Genomic DNA, 17,298 nt, shown 5'->3' on the forward strand with positions numbered 1-17,298 from the left:
ACAGTGGCTCACGCCTGTAATCCCAGCACTTTGGGAGGCCGAGGCAGGTAGATCACCTGAGGTCAGGAGTTCGAGACCAGCCTGACCAACAGGGTGAAACCTCGTCTCCCTGTCTCTACTAAAAATACAAAAATTAGCCGGGCATGGTGGTGGGTGCCTATAATCCCAGCTACTTGGGAGGCCAAGGTAGGAGAATTGCTGAATCCAGGAGGCAGAGTTTGCAGTGAGCCGGGATCACGCCATTGCACTCCAGCCTGAGCAACAGAGCGAGACTCCGTCTCAAAAAATAAAAATTAAAATAAAAAAATAGAGAATAGAGGGAGCCCAGCAGGGAGAGGAAAGTAGAGAATCCTTCCCATGCAGCCCCCGTTTACCTCTGGGGCAGAGAGAGGGGAATCTTCTAAAGGTGGAAGAGTGTAATGCTCAGCTACAGATAAATACGTGTTGCCCTCCTTCTGTTCATCTAGGCATGCTCAGGATTTCAGATTGAGAGAGTTGTAAATGCATAACTCCTCCATCATTACAGCATCCAGTGGCCCCTCCCTCACTCCCTGACCGAGGCCTTCCCTGACTAGCCCCATATAAATGAGTCACCTTTCAGCCCTCCCCGCTGCCCCACCCTGATTGATTGAATACTTGATTGGTTGATTTTAGAGAAGAGGCCTCGCTCTGTTATCCAGGTTGGAGTGCAGTGGCGCTATCATAGCTCACTGCAACCTCTAACTCCTGGGCTCAAGCGACCCTCCTACTCTGCCTCCCGAGTAGCTGGGACTATAGGCATGCACCACCACACGAGGTCAACTTTTCTATACTTCATAGAGACAGGGTCTTGCTATGTTGCCTAGGCTGGTCTCAAAGCAATCAAGCGATCCTCTCACCTTGGAGGTGCTGGGATTACAGGCGTAAGCCCCCACGCCGGGCCCCCTGACTTGTTAATTCTCTGTGGCACATTTCCCTCCCGGGCTTGGTGTATGCTTACTTGTCGATGTGTCTGATGACTGTCTCCTCTCACTAGCGTTGAAGTGCTGTGAGAACCAGGACATAATCCCACTGCCTGGAGCAGTGCCCGCTGACCAAGTGTCTGCTGGATGGATGAAAGATAATGAAGGTCACCAATGGGCAATTTAAGGGACTTCCAAGGGCAGTTTTCATCCTACGAGATCTTTGCCTCTGGTGCTGCCTTGGAACCCACTGCTTTGGAGCTAGACGGTGCTGTTGGGATATTTCCCAGGAGGAGACACCCAGCAAAGCTTCTGATTTGTCCACCATTCCCTTTCTTACGCCAGGTGAATACAACACACACAATGGACCTTCCACACCAGCGAAAGAGGGAGACACAGACAGGCCGCACCGGGCCTCCGACGGGAAGCTCCGAGGCCGGTCTAAGAGGAGCAGTGACCCGTCCCCGGCAGGGGACAATGAGATTGAGGTAATCCAAAGGGGCTCTGTGTGACCTGGTGAATGTAATCTCCATCTGAGGCCCAAACAAGAGTGGGGACAGAGTTTTCTCCAAGTACGAGGCGGAGAATCGCCCTTCGTGTTTTACAAAGCATGAGCAGGGAAGCATGAGGTTGTCCAAGCAGGTAGTCCTGGGGCCAGGACAGAAGAGAGGTTCTCAAACTGAAGCAGCATCAGAATCACCTGGGGGGTGGGGGATGGTGCTTTTGAAATCAGGGATTGCTGGGCCTCAGCCCAAGAGTTTCCAATTCAGCAGATCTGGGGCAGGGCATGAGAATTTACGTTTCTGACAAGCCCCCAGATGATTATGATGCTCTGGATTGAGGACCACACTCTGAGAGTCCCTGATAAAGAAAAGAATGGGCCTCCGACCTTCCAGCTGGGTTAAAGTGGTTCTCTACCCTGGTTACACAGCAGAATCATCTGGGATGCTCTTTAAAAAACAGATACCCTGGCCCCATCCCAGATCAATTGAAAAGACTCACTGGAGGAACTAGGGGGGAGGAGGGGAGTTTTAAACATTCTCGGTGGGGACTCTAATAAGGCTTAGATATTGATCTGTGTGGAGGCTGGCTCTAATGAGTGTGCCTCTATTTCTGGGATTCTGGGATTCTGACTTCTCAGAAAGGGGCTCTCAACCTGGACTGCACACGACAATCACATGAGGACTTTGAGAAACCTTCATTATCAAGTTGCACCTCAGACCAATTAAATCCTATTCCCTGAGGGTAGAAGCTAGGCATCAGTGTTTTTAAAGCTCCGTGGGTGATTCCTGTGTGCAGCTCAGGCTGAGAACTAGTGGTCAGGGATGCTCCAATCTTTTTTTTTTTTTTTTTTTGAATTGGAGCCTCTCTCTGGCTCCCCCATCACCCAGGCTGGAGTGCAGTGGCACAATCTCGGCTCACCGCAACCTCCACCTCCCAGGTTCAAGCGATTCTCTTGCCTCGGCCTCCTGAATAGCTGAGATTACAGGTGCACGCCACCATGCTCAGCTAATTTTTGTATTTTTAGTAGAGACGAGGTTTTACCATGTTGGCCAGGCTGGTCTTGAACTCCTGCCCTCAACTGACCTACCCGCCTTGGCCTCCCAAAGTGCTGAGATTACAGGCGTGAGCCGCCATGCCCGGACTTTTTTTTTTTTAATCAGGTATACATGAGGTTTTCAACAGGTTGCTATGGGATACATACAGATAGTAAGATGATAATCATCATGAAACAGATTACCAAGTCTACCATCTCACAAAGTTACTTTTTCTGTCTGACAAAAGCAGCTAAAATCTACTTATTTAACAAAAATCCCTAATACAATATAACTTTGTTAACTCTAATTCTTGTGTTGCACATTAGATCTCTATACTTGTCATTTGTTATGCAAGTGTAGTAGTATTGGCCAGGTACTGACATTTTCCCAAAAACAAAACATTATGCCTAGGGGAGGGTACCAGTAGAAATAGGCAAAATGGATGCCCCAAAACCGGAAGTAAGCTACTGTTGTCTTATCAAGGGAGGAAAATGAGCAAACTCACCGGTTTATACTTCTTTGAAAAAGGCAGTCAGTTGCTGGCCTGAGTGTGCTAGGTGTCTCGGTAGGATTGTCAGTGCCAGGCAGTTCAAGTACACCAGCGTCACATCCCTATTTATAATCTGTATACTTTATGCGGCAGCTGCAATGCTCAGCCACAAACTCAAACACACTGAGAAAGATCACCTTTGTCATTTCCTTAAAAAGCAATGTAATTTTAACCCTGAGTCCCCATGCCACCAGATGGTAAGAAATTTCATTTCATTATTAGGGACCCTCCACTCCCAGGATTAAATGAGAATCCAGGGGTCAAGTGGTCTCAGAAACCAGACCAGCCTCTGACGTCCAGTGTGGCTGGGTGGCCCCTGCCACCTTCATTGTCAAAGCCTGCAGTCGTCACTAAAAGTCCAGCCACTCTCTGGTGTTTCCATGCTATACAATGGGTATGGAAATCTTTGTTGAGCCTGAGAACCTTGAAATATTTGCTACAATTCTTTGGTTGCAAGCAACAGAAACCAGTACCGGGCCCAGCACAGTGGCTCACGCCTATAACCTTACCACTTTCAGAGGCCGAGGTGGGCAGATTGCTTAAGTCCAGTAATTTGAAACCAGCCTGGGCAACATGGCAAAACACCATCTCTACCAAAAAAAAAAAAAAAAAAAAAAGCCAGCCATGGTGGCACACACCTGTAGTCCCAGCTACTCAGGGGGCTGAAGTGGAAGGATCAATTGAGCCCAGGAGGTAGAGGCTGCGTTGAGCCATGACCACACCACTGCACTCCAGCCTGGGCGACAAATTGAGAACCTATCTCAAAAAAAAGAAACCAGTTCTGGTTACTTAAGCAAAAATGAATTTACTAGGAAAGGACAATGAGAGGAGGCCGTAAAACCAAGTTTAGAAAGAAAGTAACAAAGACATTGTTGAGAAATCTAGGAATGCCAGAAAGCAAACATTTTAGAGTGCAGTGTCCTGTCCTTCGGTGTCCGATTCCAAGAAGACAGTATCCCAGTGGCCTAGCTTGGGTCTTACCCCTTAATTGACAGCCCCACCAAAATAGCACACAATGGGGAAGGAAAACTAGGATGCTCTTTTCAGAAGCCCTGAAGTTGGAAGCTAGGGGTGGGGACCGGGACCTCCAAGCAACACATGCTGACTTCAGCATGTTCAGGGCATTTGATATTTAGCCAGTGGTCCCTAGTTCACCTGTAGCAGTTGTTTATAGCTGGGGTCGGTTCTGATCACCCTGGAAGATATTAAATATCCTGAACATCATGCTTGGTGCCCTACACTTGGTCAGCCTCCCGAGATCTACCAGTAGCCTTGATCCATGCTAGAGACCTGGTGCAGAGCAAGTGTTCCCACTGTTCCTGGGGCCATTCTTAGTCCAGGGAATTCTGTCCTTGCTTTTTGCCTTGTTCTTAAAGCTCCATCCTTTCCCCAAATAGAGGAGATTTTGCACAATCCCTTCAGTGGGTTTAGGCCTTTGCAAAAGACTGAAAGAAAACGTATTGGCGTCAGGTTGTACTTGCTGTCTGCCTTCCCATATTCCTAGAATCTCCTACCAGCTTGAAGTTGCAGAGCTTCGAAAACACAGAGAGCCACACATACATAATATTCCCTCCCCACAAGAAAATTATTCAGTCACCTAACATGTTTTCTGCTCTCTGTAGGGGAACGGCGGGGGTAGAGAGAGATTTTTCCATTAAACTGAGAAAGAGGTGGGGAGGGTTATGGCATAGAAGTCAGGGATTATAGGGTGATATTATTCTGGAAACATCTGCTTCTTGATTTCAGCATAAGTACCACTGGCAAGAACCATTGAAAAGGTGTGAGCTGTGTTTCACTTCTATGCTTAATGTCATCATAGAAGGTTTGCTTGGGTCACACCTCTTAAGTCTTTGGCTGTTTTGCTAATGACTGAAGCCCACGGGAGAGAAATTATGTGGAAGTGGAAAGGAGGAAAATTCTGAGCATGTATTAGTTAAAATCCTTCAGCTGCACGTGCCAGGGACCAACTTGAGCTACTTAGGTGAAAAAGCAGAATTTATTTTAAGGATACAGGGCCTCTCTTAGAACTTAAGGACAGAAGTAGAGTAGAGTATCAGCGAGGCACTGGAACCAGCAAGGGAGACAGGGACAAGAAACTGCATGTATGCCTTCTCTTCCCATTTGCCACAGTGAAGATGACAGAACTCCCAAACTATAGTGTCCTGGCCGTGCCTTCATGTGCTAGTTACTGGGCACAGCTCTCCTCTGGGCCTCCTCACTCCTCCTTTCCCTCTACTCCCAATGAAACCAGGTCCTGGTAAAGTGTTAGTTTGTTTGTATCTTTCACCTTCTGTTCTTGTCTCTGGAGACTACCTGTCAGATCCCGGGGTCTGGGTCCAGCCCATGCTGAAGTCCGAGGGGAGTGGGTGGATGGGCAGAAAGAACACTCAGGGGGCCATAGGAGGTGAAATGTAGTTTTATTTAGCAGCTTTCTCATCAGCAGCTTTCTCACATTAGCTGTCTCACATTGTCCACCTTTATCTCGGCTGTCTGCTTCAGCTCTGCGGCTCCTGCTGCCCTGACAGCTGCAGCCGCGCAGCCGGCTCTCCCTTGCCTTCAGGGTCAGCAGCTTAACTCTTCCCCTCTCTGGGCACCAGCGCAAGCTGTGCTGTGGCTCCCCTCTGTCTATCTGCAAAACAGTCATTCTCCCTTACAGGGGCCTGTAGCTTCATTCCCTCTCTGGGCACCAGCGCCTGCACAAGAGCCACATTGAGCCAAACTGAGCCAAGAGCCATGCCCTGTGCACAGCGTCAGCAGGGCAATTATATCTTCTAAAGACAGTAGTGACTGCAAGCCAAGTATGAACTACACAAACAGGTTATATAACAAGTGGAGGTATGCACCTGCACGCCAAACTCGCTGAGTCACGCAGGCCTGGGTATCCATCTCAGCCTAGTCCTTGACCAAAGCACATCCATGTGCCTTACGCTGCCCTTGTCTCCCCTTCAGATCACATGGCTAAACTTGGCCACCAATAGCCCTCCCCAAAAGACAATTACTTTCTTCCTAGCCCCAATTTTAAATTGCAAAATAAAAGGTCTCTGACCCACCCATGGTTAAGGACGCACCCTGGTCTGCACCATGATGGCCTAGGGAATAGGGTCACCTGCAGAATGGCCACCAGGAACTTACCCACTAAGAATCGAGGATGGTGAGGTAGTAGGAGAAAGGGATGGATTTTTTTCAGAGGGGATTTAATGGATAAAGTAAGGGAGCCTGCACTAAATTTGAAAATATTTGCTGATTTTTAAAAGTTCTATTACTGAAATTTCTAAATTTAATTTCCTAAGTTCAACCCCAGTGAATTCAGATAAGTTAGGACTTGGCATATTTGAATCTCAGAAGGTCCTTCTCAAACACTGATTTTCAAACATTTTTACCATGACCCGTAATAAGAAATATACTTACTATGATGGCCCAGCATATATATGCACATAAATATAACTGGTCCAAAAGATTTATGAAATAATACTTAGCCTTACTAATTGCTTCAGAAATCCCTGTACTAGAGAATCTGGGATGCTAATACCTTTTTCATTCTAGATATTTCTCTTAACTTTCAAAGGCATGGCAAATGCCATTGTGTTAATACAGCCATTGACCTCCAGAGAGTTTTAAAAGGTGGCCCACTCAAGATTGCATACTGGGGAGGGACATTTGCCTCCCCTTCTCAACACTAGCTACAGAGTTAGTCAGGTCCTTTGTCCTTGAAAATAATGATCACCAGAAAAATAAAGAAAATCAACAGTATGAAAAATAAAGAACAAGATTAGCCAGGCGTAGTGGCTCACCATGCCAGCACTGTGGGAGGCCAAGTGGGGAGGATTGCTTGCATTCAGGAGTTCAAGAACAGCCTGGGCAACATAGCGAGACCCTGTCTCTACAAAAAGAAAGATCAAAAATTAGCCAGGCATGGTGCCACATGCCTGTAGTCCCACTACTCAGGAGGCTGAGGTGGGAGGATCGCTTGAGCCTGGAGAGGTCTAGGCTGCAGTGAGTGATGATTACGCCACTGCACACAGGCCCTGTCTCAAAAAAAATTTTTTTAATTAAAAACAATAAAGGCCAAGGTAAATAAATGGGATAAGTTAGAAGTGAAGTAATTTAAGAAACATAAAATAACTTAGGAAAATTCTAATTGGTTTTCATATAAAAACTCAAGATCTTGCATCCATAAAATAAAAAGTGGAGGCTACTGGGAAAGGAATACTCAGAGGGAAAAAAAGTTATTGGAAATCTTTTAATTACTGCAAAAATCAAAAATTTAATAAGGGTTATAAGAGAAAGTTTAAGAAATCTCCCAGAACACAGATCAAAAAGACAGATTTATTAAAAAATATTATTTACAAGGAAAGGCAGTATCAACCCAAAAGGTTTGATTTGACTATTGGGAATTTCACAAAAAGAAAACAGTAGAAAAGATGGGAGAAAATTATTAAAAGAAATAAGAAAATAAAAATTTTCAGATCTGTAGAAAGATGCAAGTCATTGGGTTGAAAATGCTGAAGTGCCAAACAGAATTCATTAAAAAGAAGACCATACCCAGATATATCTTCATGGAATTTGAGGATACCAAGTGTAAAGAAAAGATCCTTTAAAATTCTAGAAAGAAAAAAAAGGTAAAACCTACAAGGACTGAGGAACAGTGAAATACCAGATTTCTCATCAGTGACCCTGGACACTTAAAAAAAATGATGAAAGAATTCTTTCAAAGATCTAGAGGATATTGTTTTCAAATTGGAATTCTGTACCCAGAGAAACTATAGAGAAAAATAAAGATAACTTCAGATATTCGAGAATTCAGGAAGATTACTTTCCATGTACCATTTCAGGAAAAGCAACTTAAGGATGTATTCAAGCAAAACAAGGAAGAAAACCAAGGAAGAGAGACTTGGGATCCAGAAAACAGTGGATCCAACCCAGAAATACAATGAAGGGAAGTCTGCAGCAAGCCTAAAAATGATCCAGTCCACATTGGAGGTTTCTATCACTGAGGATAGATATCTCCAATACAGAGTGTGTGGCTGAATTTGACATTTTAATGAAGGTACATTGTTGCAAACAAGAAAAAATTAATAAATTCTGACAAAACCAAAAAAGTTACATCAGACAGGTATGATACATATATGAACAAACTGAGATATGACATTATTTTAATTATGATGGAGTACAAGTAAAGAGAATACATACAATGGTAGGGGCATTCTCCTTAAAATCAATCTGGGGATATGACATTGGACACATAGAGAAGACAATGCAATCTTAGCATATTACTTGGCTCTGTAGTGAACAATAATCACAAAATGTAAATGTATATTACTAGTTACCAACTTTTAAAATTGACATAGGCAGAGTGCAGAAAATTTAACCTTAGTTATAAAACCAATGTACAAACAAGTTTATCCTCATTGACAATATGAAGGTAAAGCTACAGCTGATAGACATTAGAGCGGGGAGGATGTATGGGAAAAGGTAGGGACTCCCATATCGATAGCTCCATGTTTGTTTACCTTTTTAGCCAAGGGAGAATGTCCAAGGAGAATTGGAATAGAGGGACTCACATATGAGAAAAATGTAAGTTTCCAGAGAAACAACAGAGATTTCCATGAGTTAAACCCTCATCTTTTAAGACTGCCCAGTCAAAAGATATTGTCTCAAGTTGAAAAATCAGTAAGGGTATAAATATGTTACTTAGAATTATAGAGGTGATCACCAGACTTGCTAAAAACAGAAATAGTTGAGCGTATGGTGAACAGTGAATTTAAAATGGTGGTATTTCATTTTGTAAAACGAGTTATATGATTTTCGTTGTTGATTTTGGCCTGAATCCTCCTTTTTGAGCTTTTATATGGAAGGCAAGGACAGACTTCTTGATTCTGACATCTTTTGAGTTGATAAGAGCCCAAAAACTGGGCATCCGAATACACATGACACAGATAAGGTTGGATGGGGATTCATGACACATCAGTGAGTTACATGTTTTGTAACTAAAGATAATGTTTTTCGAGACTTCTTTTCCTCCAAGGGAATGAATTTCTGCAGACATTAAGTCAGATGCACGTGAGTCCATTTTTCTCCATTCTCTTCCTCTCTTTCATCACAGCGTGTGTTCGTGTGGGACTTGGATGAGACAATAATTATTTTTCACTCCTTACTCACGGGGACATTTGCATCCAGATACGGGAAGGTAAGAATCCATTTTGTCTCTCTCTCTCTTTTTTTGTTTTCAACGTTATTGTCCAGCCAGTTTGTCCTGGAAATTGTGCGGACAGTTTATGAGGCAGCTTCTCCAACAAAAGCTGCCCTTTGGGGTCAGCCCAGGTTTAAAAATTCCTATGACATTTTCCTTTGCCATGTGAAAATTTAATTAGCTTCCCCTTCTATTGTCTTCCATGCCTTTTCTTCCAACGTTTGAAGCAATCAACATTTACTTGATAGGAAATACACTTGTTGTCTTCAGCCGTCTCCCTTCCTAAGACAGTGGGCTATGGTGCAGCCAAAGCCAGTAATTCTAGCTAGAAAACGAGGTAAAGTACTTTTCTTCTTCCCTGTTGTTTATCCTAGTGTCTCCGGCAGATGAATTTAATTTTCCTTCTGTTTTTTTGAGACAAGGGGGAGGCATTGTCAGCTCCAGTGTGGATCTTAGCAATCGTTTTGCAAATGTATCATCAACAAATTATGTCGGGGAACCATCTAGTTAGAATTCTAGGCAAATGCTATTGGCTGAATCGTGGTGGATGGAAGAGACCTTGAAACCACTTTAATAATGCAAAAATGAACTCAACTGCTAAAACTCAAACCTTGTCAATTATTTGGGTTCATCCCATGGGCTACTGAACAGACGACGAGTGGATGCCCTAGACATCTGTCATCTCTTCAGGGGCACGCATGGGGTGGAAGGGCAGTACTTAAGACGACAGCCTAGTTTTCATCTCCTCAGAGGTGAGTGACCCACTGGCAGCTGCTTCCACGCATGGGTAGGAACCTTGAGACTTGCCAGCGCCTGGAAAATATTTCTGTTTCTGTTTAGAGACCAGGAATATGATTTGACATCACTTCATGGCTTTTCCAGCTGCTCATGTTTTTTATGGGGGTTATAACAAGCTGGATGTGTAATTAGCAAGATAGATTTATCGTCTGCCATTATGTTGTAAAGAATATAAAAATGGTGTTGGTGGTGCAGAAATCTCTTGCCGTGTAGGAATGCCGTTAATATGTCTAGCAGTGCCTGTGGGAAATCCAGCATGCATTTTTGGACTGTGCACAGCTTAGGTAAAAGATGGCAGAGTCAAGAGCTGCTGAAAACACTGAAGAATGGGCTCCACAGCCATTGCAAAAATTTGGGCTATCCCAAAGGGGCCACAGTAGTAAGTTGCCTGCTAAGTCGTGGTGTTTTATGGTTTTCCTAACCACTCCTGTAAAGTCACCTCCCCTGAGACACAGGCACTCACTCATCTTGCCCTTAGAGGCAGCCTGCTGTGAAGTTCCATAGCTCCGTGCAACAACTCACTTAGTATGGATTGTGTAGGGATGTGTGATCTTGGGTATGATTTTTGTATCTGTGTCTCACCAACATTCCTCAAACCAAACTGTGGGCTCCTTCAAGTCAGAGACAAAGCCCCGAGTTCCTTTCTGGGCCCCATGTCCCCTGGCCCATGCCATTCCTCACTGCCAGCCACCTCTCTCCCACCTCACCACCCAATTCCAGCCACCTTCACCTCCAACTCGGCTTCCTATCTGGTCTCCCAGCTTCTACTCTTGCCCACTGCAGCCCCCTACATTGGAGTCATCCTGAAATGCAAGCTTGGCCATATCACTCTCCAGCCGAAAAATCTTCAGTGGCTTCCCCATTGACAAGCCTACCCCCAGCCTCCAAGGCTCTTCATGAGTAGCCTCCTGCCCCATTCTCCAGCCTCCTTTCCTGCTCTTACCCTGAGTTGTTTTTGGTCCTTGAACCTGCCACATTCTCTCCCATCGCTGCTGGGTTTCTCCCAGAAGATCCTGAGACAAAGAGTGAGTGCGAGTAATCTATCTGGGAGGTAATCCCAGGAAGTAGTGGGGAATTCAGGCAAGGAGGGAAAGGAAGCCAATACAAATTACACAAATATAATAGTTACTGCCGTGGGCAGTTGGGGCTAAGTCCCACCAGGGACAGTGTTAACCCACCCAAGGAGTGAGGGAGCTGGGATATTTACCTGCAAATTCCCTTCCATTAAGCGTTGAAGGCTTTTCCTGGAAATTGTCTCCTTGCACTTCTGGCCTGTCCCCAAGAAGCCGCAGAGGGCAGCCTTGGTGGCTGACACCTATAATCCTAGCACTTCGGGAGGCCGAAGTGAGAGGATTGCTTGAGGCCAGCCTGGGCAACATAGTGAGACCCCATCTCTTTAAAAAACTTAAAAATTAGCCTGGTGTGATAGTGTGTACCTTTGGTCCCAGCTACTCAGGAAGCTGAGAAGGGAGGATCGCTTGAGCCTGTGGTGAGCTATGATCGCACCACTGCACTCTAGCCTGGGCAACAGAGCAAGACCCTGTCTCAATCAATCACTCAATCAATAAAAAGAGAGCCCCAGGGTAGAGCATCACAAATGCTAACTGTGGAAGGTTTCTTCATATATGTACAGGAATGGTGACAGTTGAGGGGACGTGGAGCTGGGGCACACTGGAAGCCTCTGCTATAATCTAAGATGTTCTAGAATGTTCTTTTATTAAGTTAAATCCTACTTATCTTTCAGTTCTCATTTAAAACGTAGCTTCCTCCAAAAGGACTTTCCTCAGTACTCCTCTCCATCTAAATTGCGTCTGTCCTCATAACTGTGTTTTCCATTCATGTCATAATTATGTTTATTTTTATTTTATGTCTTCCTTCTAGGCTATAAGCACCATAAGGGCAGAGACCATGAACATTTTTTTTTATTTCCCCAACCACGCGCAGTACACAGGGCAGAATTGCTCAATAAATATTTGTTGAATGAATGAATCAGGGTGATCCCCTAGAATGTTAAGCTGCACGAGGACAGGGACCTTTGGTTTGGTTTGGTTTGGTTTGGTTTGGTTTGGTTTTGTTCATAGCTTTATCACCAGTGCATGGAACAGTGTCTCCCACTTAGTAGGTGTCAAGTAAATATTTGTTAAATGAAGGAAGGAAGGAAGGAAAATAGTATCAAAACAGAAATTTTTAACTGGTGGCCGCTGGCCAAATTCATACTGCAGATATTTCTCTTTGGCCCCCAGAGTGTTTGAAAAAATGTGAATGTGTCGCCAACATTTAAAAATCAGGAGATTGCACAGACCAAAACAATCTAGATTTCCAGCTCTTCTTGAAAAATTAGAAATCTGGCAATCCTGCATTCCCCTGGGGCCACAATCAACAGGAGCAGAGGAGGACTGCCCTCTTAGGGGGGGTGGACATTCTCCAGCCCATCGCAGCCCCCACCTGGCCTGGTTAACCCATTCTTGGGACTCTCTGGCCCCATTGGTATCTGAGTTTCAACATCCATCCTAGAATTACAGAATCATAGAAGATTAGAGCTGGAAGGACTTGAGAGATCATCATGTCCAGTTAGTCTCCATCGTCCATAAGGAGAAACTGAGGCTCAGAGGGAGTAAGATCATCCAAGAAAGCATGAGAATCAGACTCAAGCTCACCTGCCTTCCTGTGTGATCTCTGGATGTCCAGGGAAAACTGAGGTGAAAAGCTGTTAGAGCACCCAGATCGCCTGTGCCATCTTCATGACTCTCCTAGAATTTTCCATTCCCTCCTCCAGCTCTCGCTAAGGTGAGGAATGAATGAGTATTATCATTTGCTAAATCTAGCAACCTTCAGAGAGACCCAAAATAATTGTGACTTAAACAAGATGCAAGTTTATTTCACTCCCCTGCAGTCCAGATGGAAGCAGTTCAAGCTGGGGAAACTGCTGTGCAGCACCAGAGACCACAGCCTCTACAGTCTTATTCCCTGCCATTTTTTGGAGTGTCACCAGCATTGGCAAGATAAATCATAGCTTACCCCCATGTCTGCATTCCAGCCAGTAAGCAAGAATAGGAAAAGGGGGACTTGCCCCTCTCTTTTGATATTTTTATTTTCTTGTCCCTCTTTTTTTATTATTTTTATTAATTTTTTTAGAGACAGGGTCTTGCTCTGCTGCCCAGGCTGGAGTGCAGTAGCACAATCATAGCTCACTGTAACCTCAAACTCCTCACTCAAGCAAGCCTCCCACCTGAGCTTCCTGAGTAGCTGGGACAACAGGCAAGTGCCACCATGCCCAGCTAATTTTTAAAAGTTTTTTGTAGAGATGGGATCTCACTGTGTTGCCCAGGCTGGTCTCGAACTCTTGGGCTCAAGTGATTCTCCCACCTCGGCCTCCCAAAGTTCTGGGATTACAGGCCTGAGCCACCACACCCAGCAAGCCCCACTTTTTTAAAGGCCAGACTCAGAAGTTGCAGGCATCACTTCTGCTCTTATCCTATTGGGCAGAACTTGGTCAGATGGCCTCATCTACCTGCAAGGGAGTCTGTGAAATGTACTCTTTATTTGAGGCTGTCATGGCCAGTTAAAATTTAGATATTCTATTACTCTGAGAGGGAGAAAAGAAGAATGGGTATTAGAGGACAACTAGCAATTTCTAGCCCAAAGTACTGTATAGTAAAAGGAAAAACAATTAAATAGAAAACTGATGAGGAAACATAAAATTAGTTATGTTTGAGAGGCCTGAGGGACAACAGGATTTGTAGGTCTGAAGCTCCAGAGAGAGGTCTGCACTATAGCTCTAAGCTTGGATGTCAGAGAAGTAATAAGGATGTAGAGGAGAAGTGTGAGCCCCATTTTGCAGACAGAGTGACTGAGATGAGACCTACAGAAGTTGTGTAGTTGGTGGGATATTCATGACAGAACCAAAACTCATGGCCTCAGCTTCTGGCTCACAGTTCTTTCTCTCTGTACTTCCCCAGCACTGCAGCCATGTGAAACTTGTTATTAATAGCTGTCATCAAGTATGACATTCAGTTTGAAGTACAGCATATTTAAGCTGCAAAGAAAATTTATTGAAGCACAATAATTGAAAAACCCAGGGATACCTGGGATTCAGGTCTGGCTGGATCCAGATGTTTAAGCAATGTTCTTAGGTCATTCTGTATCTCTTAGCCAATTTTCTCCATGTGGTAACTCCCTCTCAGCAATCCCAACTAAAAACTGGAAATTTCTAGTACCCACATTCCAGCACAACTTCTAGGCGTTAATGCCAATGTCCCAAACTGGGTCACATGCCCATCCATATGCCAACCTCTGTAGCTCTGATTGGCCAGCCAAATCAAGAGCCCACTCCTGGCATGGGAAAGGAGGGGCAGATCAGCTCCACCTCAACCAAATAGAGTGAGAGAGGGAGGATGGTCCCCCAAAGGAAACTGGAGTAATCCTTCCAGAAGAGTATGAAGGCCCATGGATGTCCAGTGAATGGGCACTGGATGCCAAGATCCCCTGAACATCCATGACAAGAACCAGCAGCACTTTGCTTGTGGCCATCATGCTGCATACCATGCAGGAAGCCAAAATCATTAATAGTACCAGCCAGAGTGGGGACTTGCTGTTTTTTGGGGGAACTAAGCCCAACAAAGCTAAAATGATTGGGGAATGATTCAAAATAGGTTGTTTGAATTTTAAGACAGAAACTGGGCTCCCGTTCTGTTCCCAATCAAGGGATGTGCTGCTTGAGGCTGTCATCTCTTCACTTCCTTTCCATTTCTTCCTCCCCAGTGCTCAGAGCCAGAACATCCCTTTGGTAGCTGTATCTCCCAGCATCTTGTGGATCCATTAGAAATTCCCTAGAGAGCTGGAGCAGCCAGTGACTGCTGCCTCTTTCCTAACCCCTCCCTTCCCCTACCACCCTCCTCCGCAGTCTCTGAACTCTGTTTTTTTCCAGCTGGTATTAGGCAAATGCAAGGTGGTCAAGAGCCTTTGCCTGTGGCCAGGAAGGGATTCTAAAAGAAATTAGTCAGCTTTCCTCCAGGGATTCATGGGGAGTTGCCCTGACTCCTCCTTTTGTGCCTTGCCTTCTAGGCAGCCCACTACCAATATGAAGCTCAACTCCAGGACCTGTTGTTGTTGTTGTTGTTAATAACAATTTTATTGAGATACAATCTACATATCATAATTTACCCTTTCGATGTGTACAATTCAGTAATTTTTAGTATATTCACAGAGTTGTACAACCATCACCACTCTAATTTTAGAATATTTTCATCACCCCAAAAAGAAACCCTATACTCACTAGCAGTCACCCCTGCCATTTCCTTCTCCCCCTGGCCCCTGACAACCACTAATCTACTTTCTTTCTCTACAGATTTGCCTCTTCTGGATATTTCATATAAAGGGAATCACACAGTACGTGTGATCATCCGTGTTGTAGCATGTATCAGTACTCCATTCCTTTTTATGGCCACATAATTTTCCATTGTGTATTAGTCCATTTTCACATGGCTATAAACAAATATTCAAGACTGGGTAATTTATAAAGGAAATAGGTTAAATCATCTCACAGTTCTGCGTGGCTGGAGAGGCCTCAGGAAAGTTAACGAACATGGCAGAAGAGGAAGCAAACACTTCCTTCTTCACAAGGCAGTAGGAGAGAGAAAGTTCAGAGTGTAGGGGGAAGAGCCCCTTGTAAAACGATCAGACATAGTGACAACCCACCCACCCACCACAAGAACAGCATGGGGGAAACCACCCCTATGATCCAATCACCTCCCACGAGGTTCCTCCACCAACACAAGGGGATTACAATTTGGATTATGATTCAAGATGAGATTTGGGTGGGGACACAGAGCCAGACCATATCACAGTTCATGGATAAACTATATTTTGTCTATCCATTTATCAGTTGGATAGTTGAAGTTTGGGCCATTATGAATAATGCTGCTATGAACATTGGCATACAAGTATTTGCATGTGCATATGTTTTTAATTCTCTTAGGTATATGCCTAGGAGTAGAATTGCTGGGCCACATGGTAACTCTAGGTTTAATGCTTTTGAGGAACAGCCAGATTATTTTCCAAAGTGACTGTATCATTTTACCTTCCCATCAGCCATGTAAAATGGCTCCAATTTCTCCACATCCTCATCAATATGTTATTGTCTGCCTTTTTGGCTATAGTCCTAGTAAGTATGAAGTGGTATCTCATTGTGGGTTTGATTGGCATTTCCCTAATAATGTTGACAAGTGACTAGTGATGTTTTTATGTGCTTATTGGCCATTTGTATATCTTCTTTGGAAAAATATTTATTCAAATCTTTTGCTCATTTTTAATTGGTTTGTCTTTATATCATTATAAGAGTTTTTATATATCTGGATACCAGTCTATTATCAGATATGTGATTTGCAAATATTTTCTCTCTCATTCTGTGAGTTGTCTTTCCATTTTCTTTGTGGTATCCTTTGAAATACCAAGCTTTTTATTTTTATGAAGTGCAATTTATGTATATTTTCTTTGGTTACTTTTGCTTTTGGTGTCATATCTGAGACCCTATTGCCTAACCTAGGTCACAGAGATTTACTCCTGCACTTTTTTCTAAGAATTTTCTCATTTTAGCTCTTACATTTAGGTCTGTGATCCATTTTGAGTTAATTTGTGTGTATGATGTGAGGCAGGGGTGCAACCTCATTGTTTTACCTATGACTATCAAGTCGTCCCAGTAGCATTTGTTGAAAAGACTCTTCTTTCCCCTACTGAATTGTCTCAACATCCTGTCAGAAAATCAATTGGCAGCCAGGTGCAGTGGCTCACACCTGTAATCTCAGCACTCTGGGAGGTCCAGGCAGGTGGATTACATGAGGCCAGGAGTTCAAGACCAGCCTGGCCAACATGGTGAAACTCCATCTCTACTAAAAATACAAAAATTAGCCAGATGAGATGGTGCACGTCTGTAATCCCAGCTACTTGGGAGGCTTAGGCATGAGAATTCCTTGAACCCGGGAGGTGGAGGCTGCAGTGAACCAAGATCATGCCATTGCACTCCAGCCTGGGCGACAGAGCCAGACTCTATCTCAAAAATTTTTTTAAAAAATCAATTGGCCGTAAATATGTTTATTTCTTGACTCTTCATTTTATCCCATAGATCTGTATGTATGCCCTTATGCCAGTACCACACTGTCTTGATTACTGTAGCTTTGTAGTAAGTTTCAAAAATGGAAAGTAGGAGTCCTCCACCTTTGTTCTTATGACCAGTCTTGACCTTTATAATTGGCATCTCCATTGGTTTTATTTTTTGTGGTTTTA

The 17,298-nt window shown here is 44.1% G+C and overlaps 1 protein-coding gene across 5 annotated transcripts in view; it reads left to right on the forward strand.

Annotated features, from left to right (window-relative positions):
- EYA2 (EYA transcriptional coactivator and phosphatase 2) overlaps positions 1-17,298 on the forward strand; it is a 294,002-nt gene that overhangs the window by 193,110 nt on the left and 83,594 nt on the right. For all 5 annotated transcript variants that reach the window (NM_005244.5, NM_172110.4, XM_017027721.3 and 2 more), the window contains 2 exons: positions 1,287-1,429; positions 9,133-9,216. In NM_005244.5, coding sequence (NP_005235.3) covers positions 1,287-1,429; positions 9,133-9,216 — 227 coding nt within the window. The remainder of the gene's footprint in view (positions 1-1,286; positions 1,430-9,132; positions 9,217-17,298) is intronic.

Source organism: Homo sapiens, chromosome 20 (assembly GCF_000001405.40).
Source record: "Homo sapiens chromosome 20, GRCh38.p14 Primary Assembly".
Taxonomy (NCBI): Eukaryota; Metazoa; Chordata; class Mammalia; order Primates; family Hominidae; genus Homo; species Homo sapiens.